Source organism: Homo sapiens, chromosome 12, assembly GCF_000001405.40.
Source record: "Homo sapiens chromosome 12, GRCh38.p14 Primary Assembly".
In the NCBI taxonomy this organism is placed as follows: domain Eukaryota; kingdom Metazoa; phylum Chordata; class Mammalia; order Primates; family Hominidae; genus Homo; species Homo sapiens.
In genome coordinates this window covers 45,031,094-45,056,374 of record NC_000012.12, presented here as the reverse complement: position 1 = coordinate 45,056,374, position 25,281 = coordinate 45,031,094, and the positions used below count along the sequence as shown (strand labels likewise).

The window sequence follows — 25,281 nt, the reverse complement described above, 5'->3', positions numbered from 1 at the left end:
GTCTCCAATCTCATCCAGGTTGCTGCAAATGACACTAATTCATTCCTTTGTATGGCTCAGTAGTATTCCATCATATACATATATATATATATATATATATATATATATATATATATATATATGTTGGAATATATATATGGAACGTGTGTGTGTATATATGTATATGTATATACCACAGTTTCTTTATCCATTCATTGATTGATGGGTATTTAGGTTGGTTCCACATTTTTGCAATTGCGAATTGTGCTGCTATAAACATGCATGTTCCTATAATGACTAGTTTTCCTCTGGGTAGATACCCAGTAGTGAGATTGCTGGATCAAATGGTAGTTCTACTTTCAGTTCTTTAAGGAATGTCCACACTGTTTTCCACAGTGGCTGTACTAGTTTACGTTCCCACCAGCAGTGTAGAAGTGTTCCCTGTTCACCACATCCATGCCAACATCTATTTTTTTTTATTATTATGGCCAGTTTTGCAGGAGTAAGGTGGTATCGCATTGTGGTTTTGATTTGTATTTCCCTGATCATTAGTTATGTTGAGCACTTTTTCATATGTTTGTTGGGCATTTGTATATCTTCTTTTGAGAATTTTCTATTTACGTCCTTAGCCCACTTTTTGATGAGATTGTTTTTTTCTTGCTAATTTGTTCGAGCTCGTTATATATTCTGGATATTAGTCCTTTGCCAGATGTATAGTTTGTAAAGATTTTCTCCCACTCTGTGGGTTGTCTGTTTACTCTGCTGACTGTGCCTTTGCTGTGCAAAAGCTCAGCAGTCCCAGCTCTTTAGTCCCAGCTATTTATCTGTTTTTGTTGCATTTGCTTTTGGCTTCTTGGTCATAAAATCCTTGCCTAAGCCAATGTCTAGAAGGGTTTTTCCAAGGTTATCTTTTAGAATTTTTATCGTTTCAGGTCTTAGATTTAAGTCCCTGATCCATTTGAGGTGATTTTTATATAAGGTGAGAGGTGAAGATCCAGTTTCATTCTCCTACAGGTGGCTAGCCAATTATCCCAGCACCATTTGTTGAATAGGGTGTCCTATCCCCACTTTACGTTTTTGTTTGCTTTGTCAAAGAGCAATTGGCTGTAAGTATTGGGGTTTATTTTTGGGTTCTCTATTCTGTTCCACTGGTCTATGTGCCTATTTTTATACCAGTAACATGCTGTTTTGGTGACTGTGGCCTTACATAGTTCGAAGTCAGGTAATGTGATGCCTCCAAATTTGTTCATTTCGCGTAGTCTTGCTTTGGCTATGTGGGCTCTTTTTTAGTTCCATACGAATTTTAGGATTGTTTTTTCTAATTTTGGGAAGAATAATGGTGGTATTTTGGTAAGAATTGTGTTTAATTTGTAGATTGCTTTTGGCAGTATAGTCATTTTCACAATACTGATTCTACTCATCCATGAGCATGAGATGTGTTTCCATTTGTTTGTGTTGTCTATGATTTTTTCCAGCAGCTTTTTGTAGTTTTCCTTGTAGAGGTCTCTCACCTCATTGGTTAGATACATTCCTAAATATTTTATTTTATTTTTTTGCAGCTATTGTAGAAGAGGTTGAGTTCTTGATTTGATTCTCAGCTTGGTCGCTGTTGATGTATAGAAGAGCTACTAATTTGTGTACATTAATTTTGTATCTGGAATCTTTGCTGAATTCTTTTATCAGTTCTAGGAGCTTTCTGGAGGAGTCTTTAGGGATTTTTAGGGAAACAATCCTATCATCAGCAAACAGCGACAGTTTGACTTCCTCTTTGCTGATTTGGATGCCATTTATTTCTTTCTTTTGTCTGATTGCTCTGGCTAGGACTCCCAGAACTACGTTGAAGAGAAATGGTGAGAATGGGCATCCTTATGTTGTTCCAGTTCTCAGAAGGAATGCTTTCAACTTTTCCCCATTCAGTATTATGTTGGCTGTGGGTTTGTCAGAGATGGATGGCTTTTATTACGTTGAGATATGTCCCTTGTATGCTGCTTTTGCTGAGAATTTTAATCATAAAGGAATGCTGGATTTTGCTGAATGCTTTTTCTGTGTCTATTGAGGCGATCATGCAATTTTTGTTTTTAATTCTGTTTATGTGGTGCATCACATTTACTGACTTGCATGTTAAGCCATCTCTGCATCCCTGATATGAAACCCACTTGATCATGGGGGATTTTTTTTTTTTTTTTTTTTTTTTTTTTTTTTTTTTTTTTGCTGTCTTGTTGGATTTGGTTAGATAGTATTTTGTTAAGGATTTTTGCATTTATGTTCATCAGAGATAATGGTCTGTAGTTTTCTTTTTTGGTAATGTCCTTCCCTGGTTTTGGTATTAGGGTGATCCTGGCTTCATAGAATGATTTAGGGAGGATTCCCTCTTTATCTTGTGGAATAGTGTCAATAGGATTGGTACCAATTCTTTGGATGTCTGGTAGAATTCTGCTGTGAATCCATCTGGTACTGGAATGTTTTTGTCAGTAAATTTTAAATTGCCATTTCAATCTCACTGCTTATTATTGGTCCGTTCAGGATATCTAATTCTTCCTGATTTACGCTAGGATGGTTGTATCTTTCCAGGAATTTATCCATCTCCTCTAGGTTTTCTAGTTTGTGTGCATAAAGATATTCATAGTAGCCTTAAATGATGTCTTGTATTTCTGTAGTGTCAGTTGTAATATCTTCCATTATGTTTCTAATTGAGCTTGCTTGGATTTTCTCTTTTCTTTTCTTGGTTATTCTTGCTAATGGTCTATCAATTTTATTTCTCTCTCCAAAGAACCAGCTTTTTGTTTCATTTATCTTTTGTCTTTTCTTTGTTTCAATTTCATTCAGTTCTGCGATGATCTTGGTTATTTCCTTTCTTCTGCTGGGTTTGGGTTTTGTTCTTGCTTCTCTAGTTCCTTGAGGTGTGACCTTAGATTGTCTGTCTGTGCTCTCTCATACTTCCTGATGTAGGTATTTAGGGCTATGAACTTTCCTCTTAGCAAGCCTTTCTTGTATCCCAGAGGTTTTGACAGGCACCTAATACTGGAGCTCCTAATTTTATAAAACCATTACTAATAGACCTAAGAAATGAGATAGATAGCAACACAATAGTAGTGGAGGGACTTCATACTCCACTGATAGCACTGGACAGGTCATCAAGACAGAAAGTCAGCAAAAAAACAATGGATTTAAACTATATCCTGGAACAAATGGACTTAACAGATATTTACAGAACATTCTACCCAACAACCGCAGAATATACATTCTATTTATCAGTGCATAGAACTTTCTCCAAAATAGCCACAATAAATTAAAGAAAATTGAAATTATATCAAGCACTCTCTCAGATCACAGTGGAATAAAACTGAAAACCAACTCCAAAGGGAACCTTCAAAACCATGCAAATACACGGAAATTAAATAACCTGCTCCTGAATGATCATTGGGTCAAAAATGAAATCAAGATGGAAATTAAAAAATTCTTCGAACTGAATGACAATACAGACTGTCTTTAGAAAGTTTTCTCTCACGTTTTTCCTTCCAAATTAGAAGTCCTTCCTCAGATGTTACTTGTTTTTCTCCTCCCAGTAGGCTGTGAATTCCCATGAGGCAAGGACCAGATCTTTCTTCTATGTATTCCCAAAACCACCACAAGTGTTCAATAAATATGAAATGCTCAGTAAAGGTCTGCTGACTAACTCAACAAGTGAATGAACATCGGTAGTATAAATCAGTCTTGCAAATAACTTTCCTCCCATTTAGCGGCACGTCATAAAATTGTCCACCAGCTTAGAAAAAAAAAACAAACTTCATTAATTTAGTTACCTACGCTCATCTTTGATGAAGCTGGGCATTTAAATTCACCATAAGGTGAACTTAAAAAGAATATTTATCTTACTAACCTGGCAACTCTGGCTAGCTTTTAACTAAATTGAGGCCAGAGACCAAATTATTCTTAGGATAAAGAGGAAAAATATAATGTGACTCCAAACTTCACAGGCATCCTTAAAAAATCTCATTCAGAATAAATTCATCTAAATTTGGACAGGAGAGTAGCAATGGTAAGTGTTAATTGGCAGAGAGTTCACAGTTTTAACACTCCACTGTTACAGAGTTTCCTAAAGGAGCAGCCTTCCCAAAGTCATCTTGTGGTTAAAAAGCAAGCTTTATTTACACACACACACACACACACACACATACACATACACACACAACCATGCTTTTCATCTGTCCAGTTCCCACTTAGCAAACTGTTAATAAATTTTAAAATACTTAAATTTTCAGAAGAAAAAAAAAGACCAGCTGTAATCCTAAGTAACGCAGTGTTTTCATCCCCGTCTCCCTGCAGAGACGTACACAACTACCAATGTCTAGGAGGACCTGGTGGTGGTTTTTTCCCTCTAGGTTTTGGACGCAACCATCTGTCATCTGGCATTTAACCAACTCCGACTATGAGCTCCTTCTCTAGATCAAAACGTATTAGATCCTCTCTTCTAGAGTGAAGGAGCTGTATGCAGCTCTCCCCACAATCCTTAAAAACAAATCTTATTAAAAGGTGACCGGAAATGAGTCACTGGAAACAGAAATTTCTTAAAAGGTCTCCGAGAAAAACACATCTCCTTCTCCCTTATAACATAAGGGCCTCGTTTAATACGCAAACAACCCACTCTTTCAGAGGTAACTTTTCAAGGGCGGCACAGCTACAACAGTCTCGGTGATACCTTCCACTGACCCTGATAACAGCCCCTCCAGCCACTAGCGACTCCGTTTACTTCCCCTGGAAGCCCATCAGTTGCTCAAGTGACAACCAACACCGGAGAGCCAGGGTTCGCCCAACAGGAGTACGCGGAGACACCCCAGACGACAGCGCGTCCCCCCCACCCCCACCCCGCCCTCCGGGCGCTCCAGGCCAGCGTCCACCAGACCCCACGCCTGGGGGACTGCTTGGGCTCTAGCGAGAGTGCCACGGCTCTGCACGGCAGCGGGGAGGTGGCGAGCGCGCCCGATTCACGTCGCCTCCACGCCCACCTCCTCCCACTACGAGTCCCCTCCCCTTGCCACAGCACTACCCTTATTGTTGGCCGCGTCTGTCACTTTGTGGGGCTGGTGACATGAATGGATGGGCTGGACACACCTTCCGTCCGTCCAGAAAAAAACAAAAAACAAAAAAAAAACCCGTCCAGATCTGCATAGAGAGGGGGAAAGACTCCCCCCTGCGCTCCCAGAGCCTACGCTGTCGGCCAGAGAAACTCACAGCTTCCCCCTCCCACACTCACTCCTCCCATCCCTTAAAAAAACGCCCAACGCAAATAAATAATATCGTTCCAAGTCCGCCGCCGTCCCGGGTGGCCTTTCCTCCCTGCCTGGCTCCGCGCGCTCCAGCCCTGCGGGAGGCGGCGGCGAGAAGCTGCGGCTCTGGGTGCGGTGCGGGGCGCCCGGGCGACAGGCGGGCGCAAGGCGGGCGCGCAGCAGACCGGTTGGCGCCGCACTATGCTCCCCAGCGCGGTCGCAGCCCACGCCGGTGCGTACTGGGACGTTGTGGCTTCCTCCGCGCTCCTCAACCTCCCCGCTGCGCCCGGCTTTGGCAACCTGGGCAAGAGTTTCCTGATCGAGAATTTGCTGCGGGTCGGGGGCGCCCCAACGCCCAGGCTGCAGCCGCCCGCGCCCCACGACCCGGCGACCGCCCTGGCCACCGCGGGCGCGCAGCTCCGGCCCCTGCCTGCTAGCCCAGTTCCCCTAAAGCTGTGCCCCGCAGCCGAACAAGTTAGCCCCGCCGGGGCGCCCTACGGAACGCGGTGGGCTTTTCAAGTGCTCAGTCCCTCTGCGGACAGTGCGAGGCTGCCGGGCCGGGCTCCGGGGGACCGAGACTGTACCTTCCAGCCTTCAGCGCCAGGTGAGCCAGCTCTCCCCTCCCTCCCCAGCCGCGCCCGCGCCCCCAGGCCGGGTGGTCCAGGGATCTGGGAGCGCCGGCGGTGCGCACTGCGCCCAGGGAGAGCCGGTTTGGGAACTTCCTGGAGCATCTCGAGCTTTAGTGGAGATGCCACTTCGGGAGTAGGGGGCCCAGGCGGAGGCACACCACTTTCTGTGATTCTTTTTTGCCCCATCCCATCCCATTCCACCAGCTTCTTTGCTGTTCCCTTCTTTCAACAGGTGGTAGGGCTGCTTAACTTTTTGGCCTTAACTGGGAAACTCTGAGGGTTCTACGGCCTGCCTGGATCAGTCTCAAGGGGTTTCACCAAGTTCAACGTTTCTAACCTGCCCGGTCCTGTTTCCCGGGCTGCACGACACCAGCTCTCAGAAAAGTTCTTGACAAGGAGAGCTTTGCGCGGCCCAACTTGGGGAGATTTTGCCACTGAAACTGTTAGGATGGTCGGGGTAGCTCAGGAACGCGCGCAAAGATCTTTGGAAGGAGAGTTGCGCAAAGTTCTGGCTTTCTCCACTCTTAAATTTTGGATCACTTTAGGCGCAAAGAAATGAAGGCCGACTTTTTATTTGTGCTGAGCTGAAAAACAGCTGAATTGGCAACTGGAGTAGGAAGTTCACCAATAAATAAGAATTTACCGAAAGAAGGGCAGTTTGGGTTTATTTTAATCACCGTATAAAACCTAACTAGTGGGACTGGGAAGAAGGATGCCGACAATTTAGTCAAATATTAGCAAATATTATGTAGGGCTTCCTGAAATTGTCAGTGATAAAAGGGAAAAGCCTCTTAGAGACTCAGAAACTGAGACCCAATTGGATTTTTTTTTTTTTTTGGCTGCGTCCTTAAACGATCTTAACTCATTCTTTTAATCCCGATGGGTTTGTCCAGAATGACTAATAGACGCTTTTTCAGCAGTTTCCATTGTCCCAGCAAACTGCCGGATCAAATTTATTGCTAATGGCTTTATAGAATTTAACATGTTTAGAACCTGTCTTGGTCTTTCACTTTGAAATGGTTACTAACAGAATGGAACAAATATAACTATATGAACACCGGTCTCATTCACCTAGTGTAAAACCTAAATGCTAGGGAACCTTTTTTGCACCCTGAAAGAGGAACAAACAGTTAAGGCAAAGTTTATGGAAATTTGGGCCTCTCTGTTCTTTTTGAAGTATTAGAAAAATTAGGCATAAAGCAGATTCACTTGGAAGAGAGTTAATAAATTAAATTTCATAAAAATAACATTTTCCAGAAAATTTGTTGATTTGCATAACTTTTGGTGGCTTGGCATTGTGTTGATAGAAGTTATTTTTCAAGGATTCCTAAGCTTTTTCTAATCATAATTGTCTCCGCCATGAAAAGATATTTAATTTTAACCTTTGCAGATTTCACAGATTACATTTAAATAAAATAAATGCAAATCAAGTGCAGTTATTTCAATAACCCTAAAAAATAATTTACTATACTTATTTCAAAATATTGCAACTAAAGGTTAAAAGTTTTCCTAAGTACATTCTTTTTATTTTCAAGAACATATTCATTCTTGTACACTTAACCAAAGTGTCCAATTGCAAACATTGTTTTTGGAATAATTACGAGGGTTGTAAGAATTTATATTCCCTTTTGAAGTATTCTAATACAGTTTAAGCATGTATTTTTCCAAATATTTTATTCAACACTCATTGAAGATATGATGTTCTAGATTAATTTTCATTTGAACAAACAACCTTTGTTTTTTAACAAATTATTCTTGTAAAGAAAACATTAGTTTCTGAAACTAGAAAAATATCTAAAGAAGAAAACTAAAATCTCATTAATTTGACCCCACAAATATGCTGCTTAAAAACCAGAATTTATATTGATTTATTTTTATAATTGGATAAAGAATGTAGTTTTCTGAACATTGCCCCGGTTTTATTTAAATTACAGATTCTTGCCTTACCAAATGTGGGAATTATTTTATGCAGTGTACAATTATGAAATTATAATGGACTGCCAACAATTTTTTCTATCAGGTGGAAATTAGGTGAGGATGAAATAGTGATTTGGTGTTCTGGGGACAGCATAAGAGTTGGAGAAGCTTTGTTTTCGGGAAGATAATACCATATTTTTCTGAAATGTTATCCAACAACCAGTTCTGATCCTTTAGACACTAACTTGGGAGTGGAACACAAAATCTGATTTTAGTAATTTCTGCATGTTGACTACCCCCTTTTTTCCCAGACTTAATTTGTTGAGTGCACCACATCTAAATTTGAATAAGAAAGCCCCAGAGTTATTTTTAAGTTCATTGGTGAAATATAGCACCGTTTAACTGCGGGATTTATGCTTCTGCATGCATTTTGGTTTCATTATTTTTCGTTATTTTTTGTTACCTACTATTAAATATACCATATATTTCATTCATTCAGCACATGCTTACTGAGTGTCTCCCATGTATCAGGCTCTGTTCTAGGCCATTGGCATAATCAGTTAACAAGACAGATGACTGTCTCGGCCCTTGTAGAGCTTACATTCCATGTTCTGTACTGCTTTATAGGTTAGCAGCCATTTTCAAAATAGCTCCTTTAATCCTCCTAATAAGCTAATGAGGTGGCTATGGAGATTCCAGTTGTTTTTCTCAATGACTATTTCATTTGCTCATTTTGTTTTTGTCCCAAGTAGCACTTTAATCATATATGAACTTGTGATAGAGAAAAAATTGCCCAAAATCTTCAGAGTCCTAACCTTAGGTTAGTCTTCCATTGACTAGAAGAAAATAATGAGGGCCAATTGGATCACCAATTACATAGTATCACAATAATAAATCAGATTGTGATTTTGCCCCTCAGCCCATAATGGAAGAAATTAGCTTTCCCTTTCCTCTTGTTATGAAATATATTTGAAAGGTGGTGACAGTTAAACACAGTAACACAGATTTACAGGTCATGGATGAAAGTAGAGTTGTCAGTGCTTCATCCCTGAAAATTGTTAAGTTTGAGTATTTACAGCAAGAAAAGCCACACTCCATAGCTATATGTTGTCAAGTTGTTTATATAGAATAGTTTTAAAACTCTAAAAATCAAAGGGCTCAGGGCTAGGGAGGGGCACATTTAGGGCAATATTGGGTAGGAAATAGGTTCTCCTCCAGGGCTTACATCTGAAAAAAGAAAAAATGTCATGGTTGTATTATAGTTTATTAGTGGAAACCAGGAGGTTTTTTGAGTAAACTCTGATTATTAGACATCCTTCCTCAGAAGTTTCCTGATGCCATTATTTGTGACAATATTTGGAAAATATTATGCCTGATTAAAATATTCATGTCTGTATATAAAAGAGGGCCTCAAAATGTAAAATGCTGAAAGATTTAAATTCTCCTGGCTACAGAATGATATCAGTTTTCCAATTGGTGGTTATGCCATCAATTCTCTTCAAAATAAGTGGAACAAATAGTCATGTTTATTAATAACATTTGTTATTTTAAGCATTTTAGAAAATGTTTGACATAAAAATAATTTCCTGAATATAATTTCCTTTATTGTTTATTAAATCTATTCTTCTGCTGCATATGAAAGGATTGGAAAGCAAATGTTCATTCTGGATAGGTGAATTGAGCTGCTGTTTTAAAAAGTAGTTTTGCCAAGTAAGTCATTCTGTGTAGTAAAGAAATAAAAGAGCATTAGTATTTTTTTTTCTGGCATCCGGTTAGGATTGTTTCTGACCATCAATACTTAATGTGCACTCTAGTTTTCTTGTCTGTCTCCCAATCCCAAGTACTGTTTACCCATTAATTGTTGACTGTCTGAAACTATTCACACTTATGTCTGGTGCTGCAAACGGTAGTTTTTTCCTCCACTGAGATACACTGAAAGTGTGAAATAAAATGGCCTCTTTTACATTTTAGGCACCTACGCAAGGGAGAAAAGGGATTTGTGCTCAAGGTGGGGATTGCATTCTAAGTAAAGACTTTGTGATCTTATTTTTTAAGTCCGAATTTGAGCTTTCTGTTGCTGACACTATGGTTTAGATTCATTTTGACAAATTAAAATCATAGAATTTTGAGTGTTGATGATGCTGATTCAGAACCAGGATGACAACAGGGGATTCCGAATGGGATAGTGATGGGACCTATGCTAGTCCATCACTTTGCTGAGGCCATCACTCCAGTCATCCTTTGGTGGAATTTTTTGAGAATACCAGAACCATATTCTTTCCATATCTGTATATTTTTCTGTAATCTGCTCAACATACCTTTTTATTTAAAACTAACATATTAATAACTTTTACCTAGTTCATGAGTAATCAGCTCTGTGGTCCCTAAGTTAATAAACACCTTCAGGTTCAAGGAGAAGTTCTTGCAGTGGATAAAATAAAAGAGACTATTAGAACCAATATCTCTGTCTCTCCTTTGCCCCAACACATGCTTCTCTTCTTTGCTCTAACAACAAGCAAATTTCAATCTGGTAATATGTACTAAAACTCTTGAGGTTTAATAATAAAACAGGAGTACATGGAGCAGGCAAATAAGAAGGTTTTAGAACTTTCCACTTACTTAGCTCCATTCCTTTAGGGATTTGAGGGTTATTTTAAGGGGTACGATGGTTTGAATGCCTGTAAATTTATGTATGGACTTACATAGAATTAAACGTAGAATTTAGAGTGTTCAGGGTTATGCTACATAAAGTCAAAAGGATGCCGTATGTTTTGGGCAATTTAAAGGGATTTCTGTGATTGCACCACTGCACTCCAGCCTGGGCAACAGAGCGAGACTCTGTCTAAAAAACAAACAAACAAACAAATAAAAAAACAAAGGGATTGCCAAGGGTGATTTTATTTATATTTGTTTGCCATGGATGTGGTTCAGATATTGGAACCTAAGCTGTGCTTAGACTCCATGATAGTTCTCTTTGGGTGTGCCACCTCCTTCCTGTTCTTAGTGACCACCAGATGTCTTTTTCCTGTAAGAAGATATTTTACAGTTAGATTTGCTGCTGAACGATGAGAGAAATGGTAGCAACTTAAAAGTGAAGGACACAACATCCATGCATGATTTCTGTTTAATCGTGTTCATAAAATCCTTTGAGATTCTTTGCTATGAAAGTTTATACAAAAATGAAATGTTATTTAAAACATTTAAACAAATGTGTTCTTATGTTAGGGTGGGCATTAAATACAAAGATCTTTTGAGGGTCTTGCTTTGCAGCCCTTAATACAGTGTTTGTCTACTTAATTTTCGGTTAGAAGAAGCTCTAAGTAAAGTTTTTCTAATTACAGTAGTTTTTCTTTATATATACAATGAAAGGACACAACTTTTAAGTCAGTTTAAATAACTGAGTTTTCGTTCAAATACACCTGGAGTCTGTCAGGAATAAAAAGGCAAGTTGTAAAATGAAACAATATGATTTTTATCTAGGAATGCTTGTTAGAATCCTCATTTTAGACTTTATTAGATCATGTTTCTATTTTATACTCTCTTAGTAAGAAATTGGATTTTTGCCTTAACATATAACATACTTACCAGGCCCTTGTATATTTTATTCCAAAATGTTTTATTTTACTTTCAGTAATGTTTCCACTTTTAATGAAATCTCTCTCTTTCATTCTTTTTAGCCTCCAGTCAATACTTAACTTGGCAATGCTGAGTGATCCATCACTCTATATAAAGTTACCATAGCTGATTTCATTTTTAATAGGATTATTCATTTTGTCAACCAGCTATTAGTTGAGAATATGTCAGGGGCACACTTTTGTGAGGTATGTGAACAGTCAACTTAAGGTACTAAAATTGTCTCTGAAACCAAAGATCAAAAAGCCTATAGGAGTTTTTAGACTTTTAGAACCAAAGCATTCAGGAAAAGGAAAGGAAAACAAAAAGGTTGCGTCTTTTTGTAAAAATTGCTGACTATTTTAATGCCTTCTTGTTTATAAATGATGCACAGATGACTAGATTTTTCACTTTTCTTTCACGTGTTCAGGGACCATGCCATAACAACCTTAATTTTTTGTTAACTCTAAGCGACCATCAGAAATAGAATATATAGATTTCCACAAAGCCTCTTGAAAAGGCTCAAAATTTCTTGTTCTTTAAAACCTTAAGTCTCTATTATTTTTAAAATTAAAATATGTGAAGGAGTTAATAAGTCATTCTTTGAGAAAATTTATGTACATTAAAAAAGGAATAAAAACCGTGACTGCTGGCAAGTTTTTAATAGATAACCTAGGGCTGGATTGAGTTTAGGTCTATTGAACAAGTTTTGTGGTTATATTGGGTCTGAAACAAAAAAAGACCATCTGATTGTTTAAAGCTAGAACAGAATGACACCTATTTGTTTACATATTTTCTATAGCTGCTTTTCTATTGAATAGTCATAATGGAGACTGTGTAGCTCACAAAGCATAAAGTATTTACTATCTTGCTTTTTATAATAGAAGTATGCCAGCGCTTGCTCCAACGTGTAAATGGCAAATTGGTTAAATTTAAAACTACCTATAGCTCTCTGAGCATTCCTGTATTTAAAAGTCTAGATTCAAGGTCTTCAGATTACTGATTCTGTAACCATAAGGAATTCATATAACCTCACAGAGCCTCTCTTTCCTCATTTCAAAATGTGAACAGTGGTAGAGTCAGCATTTGACTTTAAAGCACATACCTCAAAAGCGCACTGGTAAGATACAGGAAAAGATGTGCAGGACTCCTTCCCACCATTTCACCATAAGCAAATTATTGGTAAAAGGGGCGTTGTGTATAAGAAACCATCCCAAAACTCAGTGGCTTGAAGAACAATTTATTATTTTCTCTTACAGTTTTGTGGGCTGACTGGGCTCAGTTGGGTGGTTCCCACTTAGAATCTTGAGTGATGTTAGATGTCAACTGGGACTAAACTCATGGGAAGGTTTGACTGAGCTGGATGTCCAAGATGGCTACTCACATGGCTGGCACTGATGCCATCTGTTGACTGGTTGCTCAACTGGAGCTGTTTATTGCAGCATTCACACTTGGGCTTTCCAAGTTTCTTGGCCTTTCTATAGCAGAGTGGCTGGATTCTGAAAGGGAGAACACCAAGAGCACACATTCCAAAAACCCATGTGGCTTTGGAACTTTGGACATTCTGATACTTCCAATACTAGGTCATATGAAGCCTTGCAGTTTCTTACGACTTAGTCTTGGAAGTGACATTCTGGAACTTCATAAGACTTAGTTGCAGAAGTTTCAGAGTGTCATATCTGCCATGTCTCTTGGTTAAGCAAGTCACCAAGGCCATTCCAAATTCAAAGGAAGAAGAAACAGACCTCACCTTTCAATGGAAGGAGTACCAAATAATTTGTGATCATTTAAAATCTGTCCCAGGGTGAAATCAAGATAACCAATATCAGATACACTTCCTGCTAGGTCTGTCTTCTGCTGGAGTAGACCAATGCAGGAATTAATCACACAGAGTGGTATAGCCGGGAGCTCAGGGAACCTTCACAAAGGCTTATAGTATTCTCTTCTGTGACATAGACTTTATAATAAAAAGAGCAAGGAATCTCCTCGAGTTTAGATCATTTTTTCAGAGCGGTCTAATTGAGACTCCCTGAAGGGTAAGGCAGCAGAGGTGATGACCCTGGGCACCTGTGATGGTCATGGTGAACTAACGTCCCACAGCTGGAGGGAAGCCAGACTCTGTCAACTTGTTGGTGTTGTGAGGATAGATAAGATGTTGCTGGAAGTGTTCACACAAATGCTTGTCATCACCTGTTGCTACAGCATGTTGTTACTGCATAGCAGCTTTCCCTTTGGCCCTTCTTTATTCCGCTGCATCCCGTCCACCACTGCCAGGTGAACTTTTCTCAAATGTAGTGTTCATCATGTCACCAAGCTATTGAGGAAAACCTAAATTATCCAATTTGACTACAGATTAAATGAAATTACCTAGTTTGGCCTTTAAGGCCTTCATTCCATCAACTGCATTTAACTCTTCTAGCCACATTGCTTAATGTTCACCCGTGGGGCTTTGTCCCAGTAGCCAGGCTGGTCTCCTTCACCTGCCCCATGTGTTAACACCATCCTTGCCTCTTTTCCTTTGTCCCTGCAACCTTTTCTTCTTGGAATGGTTTCATTCTCTTCTTTTGCCCTTCCAAGTACTTTCCAAATCAAGGCCCTGATTAAGATGTTTCTCCTGCTTAAAGCCTTCTTTGAACAAGGCTTTCTTAAAATATCCTTTTCTTTTTATTCTGTATTTCAGTAGAAGTCTGCACAATACAGCTTTTTTATGTGCTGTTTTAGTCTTGATCTCAGATTATATACTAATGGCAGGAGGAGAGGCTAACATTTATTGAATGTCTACAATGTGTCAGGTGTTGTTTTATGTTCTTTTCACGGTCTCATCCTTGCTTTATATTATAATCACCTACAAAGTGAAAAAATGTTATGCGGGTGTCCAGTCCTAGCCAGCCTGATTTAAAACAATTGATGTGGGGGCTAGGCATCTGTATCTTTGAGAAGCAGCCCAGACAATTCTAATGTGTATTCAGGGTTGAGAACCACTGGCTATGGATGTGCACAGTATGAATTTTGTTAGATTGCATCTCCTTGGGGAGTGTGTCAGGTTTCACTGAACAAAACTGAACTTGGAGTAACTGAGAAATTTACATTTCATTTCATTAACCAGCAGACTCAAATCTGTAAGTTAAAGAATATTAAAAAATATAAATTATTCCAGGAAGGAAACTCCTTTTTCAATCTTTGTAGTCCCAGCACACAGTGCAGTGCTCAGCACTTGACAGATAGGCAGTACATACTATTTGCCCTAAATTGAAAGGATAGAAGCAAACAAGTAGACACTGCACTTGATATATCTTCTCATGAGCTCTACCAAAACATTAAGACCCTTTGTTTTTCTGTCTTTAAAACACTTTTGAGGCAAAAAATGCGGGCTTCTCTTGTTTTCTGATAAACAGAAAAGTAAAGGATGAATTTACCTAACTTGCTATGCGTGGTGATTGAAGGCAAGGTTTGCAATTAGATCACATAAACAAATTACTTTCAGGTGGACTAAATATTAAAATAAATCAAACTTCATTAGCTAATTGATATTTCTTTGTTCTAACTATTCAAGATAGATGTTTGCTGCTCTTTGGAGTCTTGTTTTGGGTGCCCTCCACCCTAGACTGTCGGTTCAATTGTGTATTATTTGCAAGTCAGAAGTTTAGATTTTTGACTTCTTAGTGGCCACGTACCTGGCATGTGAAAGAGGTCATTAAAACCATCCTTTTGGAATTATTTACTTCCCTGTCATTCTTTATTATTATTTTATTTATAATTTATTAATTTTAATTTATTATTTATTAATTATTATTTAGTTAATTATTTTAATTCATTATTAATGATTAGTTTTAATTAATTTATTAATATTATTATTTGTTATAATAATATTCTTAATTATTTACTTCCCTGTCATTCTTTCCTAGAGGTTTTTTTTTTTTTCTTCCCCCCAGTGGTTGCCTTAGTAAGATACTTTGGAACCTTCTATCATTTCTCCTCATCCTTCTTAAATGCAGTGGTTCCTGAAATTTATTTGAAGGTTTTATTAGTGGTCTTTAGTATTCTTCCTTTGAAATGTCAGTTCAAGTCAGTTAGTACCATAATTTGTTTGTATTGCCAATAAGAATGTGGTTTCACACCATTTAGATTCCTGATGTTCTTCTCCATTACTAAAGGAGAATAAAAAGGACAAAAACAATTTAAAAAATTATTGTTTTCTAGAAAACAGAATAATTTCTCAGTAGCTAAACTTGTAACCTTGCTTGGCTATGGGATACTTGTATCACAGAAACATCTAGTCAGCTAAGTTAAAAAAAATCAGGCTAGTTCACCATTAGGTTGGCTATAAGTTCCCATCTTAAATAAACATGCAAGATAAAAGATATCTTGAATCTGTATCTTCAAATAAGTCATACGGAAAGTTCATGAAGTTTTCTCTGAATACATAATTTTAGTCATTTGGATTCAGACAAGCCCCAGTTTAGTTCCAAAATTTTTAAGTCATTTTGTTTGTAACTCATAACAGTTTCACACAGAAATTGGAAGCTTGATTGGTAGGTGTATCAGTCAGGGTTCTGTAGAAGAACAGAACTAATAGGATATATAGGCATATATATAAAGGGGAGTTTATTAACTATTGACACAAGATCACAAGGTCTCACAATAGGATGTATGCAAGCTGAGGAGCAAGGAGAGCCAGTTCGAGTCCCATAACTGAAGAACTTGGAGTCCAGTGTTTGAGGGAAGGAAGCACGGGAGAAAGATGTAGGCTGGTAGGCTAGGCCAGTCTAGTCTTTTCACTTTTTTCTGCCTGCTTTATATTCTATCTGCACTGGCAGCTGATTAGATAGTGCCCACCCAGATTAAGGGTGGGTCTGCCTTTCCCAGCCCACTGACTCAAATGTTAATCTCCCTTGCAACACCCTTGCAGACACACCCAGGACCAGTACTTTGCATCCTTCAATCTAATCAAGTTGACACTCAGTATTAACCATCATAGTAGGATATGAAATTTGGAGTGTCTCGAGATGTTGTGTTAATACAACCTGACGTCATGCTGTAGAACCTGAACTGTTTATATTTTTTTCCAGAGGAAAGGCCATTTTTTTTTTCTCTCTCATGGAAATCTTGGGAGATGTGTCAGTTGTCCAGGGTCTAGCTCTTACTGAATAGCTGGCAGAGTCATGGTGCATGAAATCTCTATCCCTCATGGCTAGTAATTAATTATTATGTTAAATCTTTATTGTTTTTCTCGTCCTTTTTTCTTTTAATTTGCTGTGAGCAGTCATAATCACATTTCAGATGTGTCGAATGTTAATGAATCAATGAGTTAGCATGTGTTAAATTTGTAGCTAGTCCAGTGCCTGATATATAGTAAGCACTCCTTAAATATTATCATTATAAATATTGTTCAGTGAGCCTACAGTTAATCATTTCTAACATGATAAATGATTAAGCAACTGCATCTAGATGGCACTGATGGGTTTGAAATGCATTTTATCTAGGATCAAATTACCTTTTCTACCTTTTTCAGAGCACCTTCCAAGTAATTCTTAAGGGTTTACAGCACATCTATCAACTTGTCACTTTGTTTTCATCAAAGCAGAGTTTCCTGTTTTGGTCATTACTTAAAAAAAGTATATGGTTCACTAAAGTTAAAAGTGTGATACATATATATATATATATATATATATATATATATATATATATATATACCTTCAATGCAGTGCATTGTTTTAAATGGTGATTTCTTAAGGCCATTCAGTGCTCCTGCAATCATGTGCTCACTGGATTAGCATTTGACTTAGGTCAAAATAGGAACATGTAAAAAAAAAAAGCACTTAATTGGAATTTTACAGTGATTTTCACATAAACCAGCTTAAACAAGATGTATTTATGTATAGCAATCAGGAATTGACTTAAACTCGTGTGTAAATATGCATGTCAAAAAGGTGATTTAAAATGGTGAAAAATTGTACACAATAGAACTTCAAGCCTGGTCACATCACAAAATGTGAAGAAGTCCAGTTCTTTAGTCAAAACTAGAATTGTTACTGTAGATTATGATTACTTTTTTTGCAATTACAGATTTTGATACTGTCATTTTGATTACAGCTTTTTTATATTAAGATAGGGTAATGTAGAGAGATATAATAGACTATTCAATTAAAATGGTTTTTCTGGTTAAATTCAGCATTAAGATCAGATATCTGTAAACCACATTTATCACTAAGAATTTAATTGATCATTTATTTTAAGTAAACCATCCATTTTTAAAATATTTTATTTTCCCACTTTTAGGGCCCTAGGGTTGGGAATTTAATTGATCATTTATTTTAAGTAAACCATCCATTTTTAAAATATTTTATTTTCCCACTTTTAGGGCCCTAGGGTTGGGATGAGAAACATTTTGGTTAGAATAGAAAAATTTGTAATATATATATGTATATATAAGGATGCAATATGTATGCAATATATACACACACACATATTGCATACATATTGCATCCTTATATTAATGATATCAGTAGTATGATCACATTTTCTATGCCCTAATTAAGCAAAAAACAAAACCAAAACCTTTTTTTTTGTTTTCTGTTTCCAGTTAACATGGTAAATGTTTAATTTTATGTCAGCAAATGTAACATTGCTGAGTCTTTTTTTTTCTTTTACCTCAAAAGACAACAACAATAACAACAAAAGTCCAAAACAAAACAGTGCAAGAGCCATCATTTTATTATTTATAGAATGTTTATCTTGGAGGGGAAATAAGTTAGCTAACAGAAATGCTTGAAAATAAACATAATTAGGCAACTTTTATATTTCTTCTTTCTGAAGTACTTCATATATCCATAGCAATAATGAAAATGTAAATCTGCATAAATAATGCCATACTCTTGTAACATACTTTAAGATGTAAAATTCAAATGAAATGATTTATAATTTCCATGACAGTTTTATAGTCAATATAAGAACAACTTATGATAACAATGAAACTTCAAAAAAATTTATAAAACTTTTTGAACATCAGAATTGGTTTCCTTTTTATGCCTTTGCTTAGCGGCCATATTTTCAAAACAGCATTAAAACAAACACTTGATTCTTTAAAAACCCAAGTATTTAAAAAAAACCTAAAAGCATTAATGTTAACAACTTCCCATTGTGTGCTAGGAAGAAAACTGCATTTATGATTAATTTGCAATTTTAAAGCACCCAGGACCCTGAAATGCTATAAAAATTCTTATTGGAAACTATACTTATTTTGATACATCCTTCAAAGAAATTGTGAAAATAAATATAAACAGCTCATCAGTTCGTTAAAATACAAGTCTGAAATTACTGTGTTCTTCAAAAAGGTATGTAGTCATATGGAAACAATATTCACGAATGTGATTAAGAAAAGGAAAGAAGTTGTCCCTTGAATATGAAAGAATAATAATAAAAATATTTATTTTCAAGTCATGTTTTAGATTTCAAGGTCATCAGTTATGAGAGACACCATGTTTTAGGATGGGTCAGGAAGCAGGGGAAGGATTAATTCTTGATCCTCATTCTTTCCCTAAGACCAGGGAAGTTTTCTGTTTGTTCATTTGGAAGACCATTTGTTCATTTACTAAAAAATTTTTTGACTGTTTAGAATGTGCTAGGCACTCTGTTGAATGTGTCATGGTATGGGCAAGTGCCCACTTTAGGCAATCTCCACCTACAGTTATATTGTATTAAACCTATTCTATGAAAGGACATGGTGTGTCTAAGGCACTTAACCAAAGCACAGCATACAGTAAGTGCTCAATAATGGAGAGTTATTATTCATGTTTTATCCTTTATAGCTGTTCTCATCTACTGAGGAAAGAGTTTAACTTAAAATGTTAAATTCAAAGGGGATGATTCATCATTTCTATGATGGTTTTATAGTCAAAATAATAGAACAACTTATACTAATGAGACTTCAAAAAATTTTATAGAAGTTTTTGGCCACCAAAATGGGTCTCTCTTTCATACTTTTGCACAGGAGTAATAATAAATAGTTCATGCATTTCTCCTGAAAACTTTATGAATAGATTATTTTAATAAAACTATGCAGAGCAGAATTACATGGCAACTCACTATACTAGAAACACATATATCTTCAGGGTGACTAGATTACTCTTGAGATAAAATGGGATTATTCTCAAATACTTTAAGTCATGTAAATGTGATCAGAAACACCACTTTTTGTTATGGAATTGCTCAGTAAATTTACTGTTACCAACTTTGGAATCCAACTAACTATATGTTTCAAAGAACCATCTGAAAATAAGCAAAGAGATATAAACTTTAAAAATTAAATGTAAGCACATAACATTTAAATCATTTCTTGGTAAGTAGGATATCTAGAGCTGTGCTATTTAATATAATCCCTAGTCGTATGAGTCTATTTAAATATAAGTGAATTTAGAGTAAATATGCAGTTATTCATTATACTAGCTACATTTTAAGTGTACAGTAGCTGTATGTGGGTAGCAGATACCATTTTGAACAATACAGACATAGACATTTCCAATCATCACAGATAGTTTTCTTGGACAGTGTTGTTCTAGGGTATTTTAAATAAAGGAATATTTGATGTTTACTATTTATAATGATGACCGCACAGAAAATGATCTAAGAAGCTTGGTGTTTCATAGTCTCTTTGCGTCTTTTCACTACCCCTCTCAAATCTTGATGAGATTATTTGGCATGCTCTTTGACAGACAAAGGCTACTTTATAATAACTTTAATTTCAATACAAATTAAAAAACTAAGCAAAGTATTTACTCAATGACTTTTAGGAAACTGGAGTTTTGAATATTGTCTTAAAGAAATGGCTAATCAATGAGATCAATGCTTTCTCTGCAGCACCTTCCAAACCTTTCCTTCTGAGCACCCCGCCATTCTACTCGGCGTGCTGCGGTGGGTCCTGTCGGCGCCCTGCATCCTCCACTGCTTTTCCAAGTAAGTTTTTATCCTTCATCAGCAATGCCTCAGTTATTCTGTAAACCAAAGCTGCAGGATTTAATGTGCTCTGGAAAACTAATTGGTAATGCAATGGCAAGGAGCTAATTCCTCACTAAAAGTCACAGCGATCTTATTCAAGAGGTTTCCAGAGATTTATCAAACCTCAGCACACTGAGCAATTGTGAGCAGTTCTAATGGCATTGAAACCCAGGGCCGACACATCACCGAAAGCAACTTGTTTTCCATTTGATATAAAAGATCTCGGAGGGACCAGTTTGGCTTTTCTGAAATGTGTAGCAACACTCCTTTAAAGAAGAGGAAAAAGGAAAGGAAGGAAGGCGAAAAATTGTGCTGTGTAAAATTTCCATTCCACTTAAAATGTAACACAGAAAGTCACTAAGTGTCTATGGAGAATAATTTAAAATTGTCAAGATCGTGAGAGGAGATAAATCTCTCCTTTTTGGCATCTTGAAGGTAACCAACCAGAACTGTTGGAAATATTTTCAAGAGAACTCTTCTCCCAACATTGTAAAAGCAACATTTTAGTAGAGTCTGGGGGTGGAGTGAGAATGACAGACTTTCAAAATCTCGCAGTGTGCACACACACACTCTCACACTCAAAGGAAAAATGCAGGCATAAAAGTAAAACTCCCCTTGGTCTTGAGATTTCTGGATTAGATGAGAACATCTAGGCAGGGAATTTGAGTTTATGGTAAAGAGGTCCAGTGGAAGGGTGCATTTCTTTCAGTTGCCCAAGAGAAAACACTTACTCAGCTTAACAGCTCTGTCAGGTGAAAAGTGAAATTAAGAGTTGAGTCAGGCTCTTGTGCCGAACCCCATCACGGTTGAATTCAGATCGCTGCTGCCTCTGTGCATGTGTTTTGGGAATGGTTCAGGAAAGCAGTTGCTCGACAGAATAATTCCTGACAAGTGAGGCAGCAAATGCTGGCCGTTTAATGAGCTGCAGGCTCTAAGCATCTCTTTAGGGGGCTGATACTTTCCCACAGAGCACTTTACATGGCTGGGGCCTGGCCACAATGGGTGACAGACCCGTGACCAATCGTCACTTTCACTCGACTCATCCACACGCGACCTCACCACGATTTTTCACTCTGCAGATGAACTTTAGGAACCATTTCACATGGAAAAGGCTTGGGCAAGGGTCAGTTGCCCTTTTGTATGGTCATAAAGCAAGGCTCTGTGTGTCAGTCTTTTCTCCTGTCTCACATTCCAAGTGAATTTCTGGACACCATTTAAAGCACTTGACTGAAAAATAAAGCAGTAAATGAAACTGACTTTTATAGACTCATTCTAGCTCATCTTCCCATATAACCCTGTCTACCTGAAAAGGGATTTAGTGGATGAGCTGAGTGTATACAGGGACTTGCTGAATACATAGGGCCCATTATCAACTGTGGGGATTCTTTATTAACCGGGACTGATACACTACTATTTTGGAAGTGACCTATTAATTGTCCATTTAACTAGAATGTATTGAATTCAAACAGCAAAATAGAAACCATGACTAAACCTTTTACTCGCTCCTTCAAGGTGGTCTCCTGTGAGGGCAATTGAAAACTCTTGTGCAAATTAAGGAGACATTTATCACCATATATTAGAGTATCAGGAAAAGACTTCTGGAGTAGAGACCTAAAACCCAAATATCTGATACCGTATCATGATGGCATCGCTGTGGAATTAAGTCTTCAGTGTTAGATTTCGGGAGTGGAGATCAAAAGAGGTCCCACACTTAGCTTCAGTTATTTCATCATGATATGATACTGGGTTTTTACTTCAGAAAATCTCTGGCAGTCCAGGTAAGTGGAAATGGACAAAAAATTCCATGTAATAGGTGGACAGACATTCATGTGCGTGTGTGTGTGTGTGGGTGTGGGTGTGTGTGTGTACTTATTTTATAGGGACGTTTGAAGAGTCTCAAGCCATCAAAGTTTGGGCCAGTTTACTAGATAGAAAAGAAAGGTTGGGTCAGTTCAGTAAATAGAGCATGTAAAAGTAATGCTAAAGATGTTTTCTAGATGACTTTATCTTCTCTGCTGCTTGAGAAATTACTTTAAGCAGGTCTTATTTTTCTCCATCTGCTTCCCAGTCCTTTCTACTTTGTGCCTTTTGCATAATTCTTGTAAATTATAGTGTTTATCCCTGGAGGTTTATGAAGTCCTGTGTTTATCTTTTTCTTAAAAATAAATATAGAAGCTGAAAATCAGTACAGCTCTAATCAAGGATAGAAAATGATGCACTTGGTTTGGCTTCATTTCTAAAGTTGGCATTTTAAAACAGTTTAGAGATCCCACAGGTGATTTTAATAAATGATAGTTTCTCATATTATTAGTTATAACTCTAAAATGAATTTCATATATTCTTATTTATAATGTTCATTTGTATTAACAGCAAATAATAACATGGTAGAATTAAGCTGTCAATAAAGAATTTTACATAAATAACCAGGATACCAAGGTACAGTTAATAAGGTTTACATCTGTACAATAATCTTCTTTAATTTAAGGCATTTACTAGATTTTCTTTTTTTCTCCTTTTTCTAATAATAAGAATGATTTTTATGCCCAGGTCTTTGTATTATTTAACATTGTACAAGCAAAGGAAAATGTACTGTCCAAATAAACTTGCATTAAGTTTCAGCTCAGACAGCCAAAATTAGGTTTATATTAAAAAGTTTAATAACTGATTAAATCAATGGCCCTCATCATTGTTTCACAATATTGCTTCACTCTTTCCAAAGAGTAGGATCAGACCAGCACATTTTTAACTACGCGAGTGAAGTATAATTTTGACTCTTAACCTGATTCATTTATTTAATATTGATTTAGTTTTTCTTGTTAACTTCTTAGATTTACGACTGACTTCCCATTGCAATGTGGTAACAATCATTCATTCAATGGCCTTCTCACATATAGTAAATAGTTTAATAGGCTATTTAAGCACAACGCTTACAGTGGGGAAAAATTAAAAGGCAGTGGTAACAGTTCTTCCCTCACCCAAAGCAGTGTATGGAAAATCTTTGATATTACAACCGCAAGGTTCTTTTCAAAATAACATATTTCTCAAATAACATGAAATGGAAAGTTGTGGAAATTATGTAAATAATGACTTTTTAAAAATTACTTAAAGTGTAGGAATCTTAATGATGTAAACTAGCTGATTGAATTAATCAGATAATTATTTTGTTTCATCTTTGAGTATCCAACTTGAATTTGACCTTTGAATTTTATGCCTTAAAAGACAAAGGTTAAATTTGGAGCAGCATTATAAAGATTTGAGCCAAATATTCTTCTGAAACAAACTGCTGTGCCTTTTGGGAGATGAACTTATATTCTACATTTTAAGATAATTATGCTATCTTCTTCTTCTTGTTAAAACTTAAAAAAACGTAATACACTCTCCAAGTTTGAATTTTTAAGATTGTGTTGAAGGCAGAAAGGAAGGGACATTATTTTTCTAATTGTGAATGTATGTTGATTCTGTGAGTTTCATGGTCAAAGATGGGGAATGCTCTGATTAGTATTCTTGCCACCTGTCCTTTCTGTGTTCTCTTTTACTACTCTCAGCTGGAGTGGCCAGTGGACTGAGGACACTGACCAGATTTGTGGAAATCTACAAAATGCTGCATACAATTTTTAAATAAGGATTAATCTTAGCACTGTAAGATCTTCAGAGGGATGCAGAATTTTTTTTCTAATATAAAAAGGAGGCTAATTATATTGTCTAAAACATAATCGAGTTTGTGCAATAAGTTGAATAGGTGTTGACTTCTCAAAAGTACAGGGAGGGGTGTTCCATAGATAAATGGCATTCAGTCAACCAAGAACAATGTTTAAAGGAGTCAGAGACTCAAAGACAATAGATTTTCCAAGTTGATGGCTCTATTCAGCAGTTCTAGAGAGGCAGTGAAAGTATTGGAGTAATATTCCTGGAATGGAGTTCCTTTTCTCCCCAAATGTTCTTAAGCAGTAAAGGGTGGGTGAAGGGTGGGGGAGGGTAACTGCTTAACAATATGGGGTGGTTTTCTCTGATCTTGTCTATAGCCCTAGTCTGAGCATAACATGAAATCTAACAGGGCTGCTTATGAAGTCCTGATTTTTGGTTTCCAAAAAAAAAGTGAAGAATAGGGGAGGGGGAGAATGACTGAATAGAACAAAGCAGGAAAGCGTACTGTCAGCTCAGTATGTGTCTACAAAATGATACACGGTTGTTGGATTGTGCTTTTGGAAATAGACCATCCAGAACAAGAGACATCAGAGTACTACTGGACTCTGAAATGGTCAGACTGCCTGCACCCGTTCAGTTCTGGAGGCCCACTTTAAAAGGTACATTGAACAAGCTCTCATATAAAAACCAGGTTAAGAGGTATACAGCAACTTAAAATAGCGAAGACTCTGTATGACTAGTCAGGAATTTTGGGAAAAAAATTGAATATTTTTGTCCTGGAGAAGAGAAACGCTAGGGAGAACATGAGAGTTTTCTTTAACTCAGGTCTACTGTATGCAAATAGATATAAAGTGTAGAATTGGGACCAATGAGTGGAGCTTAGGGAAAGTTAATTTTTGGCTTGTTATAAGGGAATGATTTCTAGCAAATCAAGCTGTTCGATAAGTATTATCATGTGGCACCCCCACATACAAGATTATATAGAAACAGAAGGATAGACTTTTAATTTAAATCACACAGGTTTGGCAAACGCTGTGTCTTTTCTCTCCAAACTTAAGATCTGCAAAAATTACATCTCTCTCTCTCTCTCTCTCTCTCTCTCTCTCACACACACACACACACACACACACACACACACACTTGAAAATAAGAAGGGTAAGGAAGCTCTTCATGAAAGAGAAGCCCCTGAAAGATAGGAGGTAGGAAGTTGCAACTGTGAGGAATATTGCAGCAGGAAA

The 25,281-nt window shown here is 37.2% G+C and overlaps 1 protein-coding gene and 2 long non-coding RNA genes across 3 annotated transcripts in view; 1 reads left to right on the top strand and 2 right to left on the bottom strand.

Annotated features, from left to right (window-relative positions):
* DBX2-AS1 (DBX2 antisense RNA 1) overlaps positions 1 to 5,385 on the bottom strand; it is a 52,118-nt gene extending 46,733 nt beyond the window's left edge. Inside the window, exon 1 of the long non-coding RNA NR_186005.1 lies at positions 5,027 to 5,385. This is a non-coding gene — a long non-coding RNA (DBX2 antisense RNA 1). The remainder of the gene's footprint in view (positions 1 to 5,026) is intronic.
* Positions 5,276 to 25,281, top strand: part of DBX2 (developing brain homeobox 2) — a 36,428-nt gene continuing 16,422 nt past the window's right edge. Inside the window, exons 1-2 of the mRNA NM_001004329.3 lie at positions 5,276 to 5,850; positions 20,261 to 20,356. Coding sequence (NP_001004329.2) covers positions 5,448 to 5,850; positions 20,261 to 20,356 — 499 coding nt within the window. The 5' untranslated portion in view covers positions 5,276 to 5,447. The remainder of the gene's footprint in view (positions 5,851 to 20,260; positions 20,357 to 25,281) is intronic.
* LOC105369742 (uncharacterized) lies at positions 10,675 to 21,332 on the bottom strand. Its single transcript, XR_944885.3, has 3 exons — positions 21,130 to 21,332; positions 12,789 to 12,903; positions 10,675 to 10,817 (listed from the first exon to the last, which is right to left on the bottom strand). It is a non-coding gene; the product is annotated as an uncharacterized LOC105369742 (long non-coding RNA).